The 2439-nt window shown below is 46.0% G+C and overlaps 1 annotated feature.

Annotated features, from left to right (window-relative positions):
* Window positions 1300–1799: an enhancer, noted in NCBI's record as "H3K4me1 hESC enhancer chr6:3990981-3991480 (GRCh37/hg19 assembly coordinates)". NCBI's record gives its function as "activates a minimal SCP1, AML or CMV promoter by ChIP-STARR-seq in primed H9 embryonic stem cells {active_cell/tissue: H9 hESC(primed)}" and the evidence as "EXISTENCE:reporter gene assay evidence [ECO:0000049][PMID:30033119]".

The following is a 2439-nucleotide window of genomic DNA, read 5'->3' as shown; positions in this document are numbered from 1 at the left end:
CCAGCCTGGGCAACAGAGTAGGACCCTGTCTCAAAAAAAAAAAAAAAAAAAAAAAAAAAAAGATACTGCTGAGGAACTGCCAAATGGAAAAAATGCAGAAGAGAAGATATAGGGAGAGGGGCAGAGAGCTTTTACGCCCTCTGTGGGTGCACCAGCCCTCAGTACCTCCAAGTTTTCAACCCGGAAGCTCTCCAAACCCTGTTCTTTAGGAGTTTTTATGGAGGATTTGTTGTGTGGACTTGGATCGATTAAGTTATTGGCCATTGGTGATTAACTCAACTTTCCGTCCCAAGAGATTGGGAGTGGGGCTAGAAGTTCCAGCCTCTAAAGATGCCTAGGTCTTTTATCAATCCACCCTCATCCTGAGGCCATCCAGGCAACCCCAGGCACCAGTCAGCTCATTATCATACAGAAGATAATCTTATCACACGGGAGATTCCAAGGGTTTTAGAAGCCATGTACCTGGAACTGGCACAAAGACCAAATATGTTTTCTTGTGCTTTACCTCTCTTTTAAAAACATGTAACTCCTTGTTATGGGTTGAATTGTGTCCCCTGCTTCACGAATTTCATATGTTGGAGTCTTGACCCCCAGCACCTCAGAATTGTTGATGAAAAGAGTCAAACTCTGTAAAATATTTGAAGAGATTTATTCTGAGCCAAATATGAGTGACCAATGCCCATGACACAGCCCTCACGAGATCCTGAGAACATGTGCCCAGGGTGGTTGGGGAATAGCCTAGTTTTATACATTTTAGGGAGACATGAGACATCAATCAAATACATGTAAGATATACATTGATTTGGTCTGGAAAGGTGTCACAACTCAAAGATGGAGGGTGAGGGGCAGTTCCAGGTCATAGGTAGATTTTAAAATTTTCTGATAGGCAATTGGTTAAAAGAGTTATCAATAGAATGTCTGGGTTTCGATAGGGGTTGTGGAGACCAACTTTTAAATTATGCAAATGAAGCCTCCAGATAGCATGCCTCAGAGAGAATAGACTAAATGTTTCTTATTAGACATAAGTTCTGTGTTGATGTTAAATGCTGGTTGGCTCTTTCTGAATTCCATAAGTGGGGATGGTATAACGAGCCATGTCTGACCCCCCCATTTCCATCATGGCCTGAACCAGTTTTTCCGGTTAACTTTGGAATGCTCTGGCAGAGAGGAGGAGTCCATTCAGATGGCTGACGGATCTTAAGATTTTATTTTTGGTTTACAGAATATAGCCTTATTTAGGGATAAGGTCTGTAAAGAGGGAATCAAGTTAAAATGAGTTCATTATGTAACTGAGTACTCTCATTTTTCAGTTTATTTTTTAATTATTTTCTCCTCTCCCCTTTCCCCCGGCTTATGCCCCCAAAGCATGCCTGCCTCAGAACCTTCACCCTCTAGGAGGGGTTGCCTTGGAACTCCCACCCACCAGGAGGGCATGTCAAAAGCACGCCCACTTGGCCACTTTTATAACTTCTGCCCAGGAAGGCACCAACTCAGCTACCCAGTAGTTAAGGCACTGGGCCAGCAGGGGGACCCCTCGCCCTTGCTCACTCCTTCCCCGGCCTTGGATAAGTGCCTACTTTCTGCTCTGGGAGCAAAACGTCACATGTAAAGGCAGGACTAACGTTCACGACTCTTCCCCAAGCTAGCTTCGGAAGAAACCGCTTTCTTTATGCCAGACCTCGCTCTTGTTAATTGGACTACGCAGGCAGCAAGCAACTAACCCTCTGTTTGGTGACGGTTATGGATGGGCGCCCTAATCCGGTATGACTGCTGTGCTTATAGAAAGGAGAAACTGTCCAGGCGCGGTGGCTCACGTCTGCAATCCCAGCACTTTGGGAGGCACAGGCAGGCGGATCATGAGGTCAGGAGATAAGACCATCCTGGCCAACATGGTGAAACCCTGTCTCTACTAAAAATACAAAAATTAGCTGGGCGTGGTGGCGCGTGCCTGTAGTCCCAGCTACTCGGGATGCTGAGGCAGGAGAATCGCTTGAACCAGGGAGTCAGAGCTTGCAGTGAGCCAAAATCGCGCCACTGCACTCCAGCCCGGTGACAGAGCGAGACTCCGTCTGAAAAAAAAAAAAAAAAAGGAGAAACTTGTACATGGAGATATGCGTAAATGTACAGGGACACAGGAAGAAAATGGCTTTCTACAAGCCAAGGACAGAGGCCTGAAACGGATCCTTGCCTCACAGCCCCCAGAAAGAGCCCACCCTGCCCCAACACCTTGATCTTTGATTCCCAGCCTTCAGAACTGTGAAACAATACATTTCTGTTGTTTAAGCCACTTGGTTACGGCAGCTATAAGAAATTGATACACTTTTTTTTTTTTTTTTTTTTTTTGAGATGGAGTCTCACTCTGTCAGCCGGGCTCTGGAGTGCAGTGGCACGATCTCGTCTCACTGCAACCTCTGCCTCCCTGGTTCAAGCAATTCTCCT

This window comes from Homo sapiens, chromosome 6, assembly GCF_000001405.40.
Source record: "Homo sapiens chromosome 6, GRCh38.p14 Primary Assembly".
Lineage (NCBI taxonomy): Eukaryota > Metazoa > Chordata > Mammalia > Primates > Hominidae > Homo > Homo sapiens.
The sequence above is the reverse complement of the archived record's forward strand: the minus strand, read 5'-3'. Positions and strand labels throughout refer to the sequence as shown.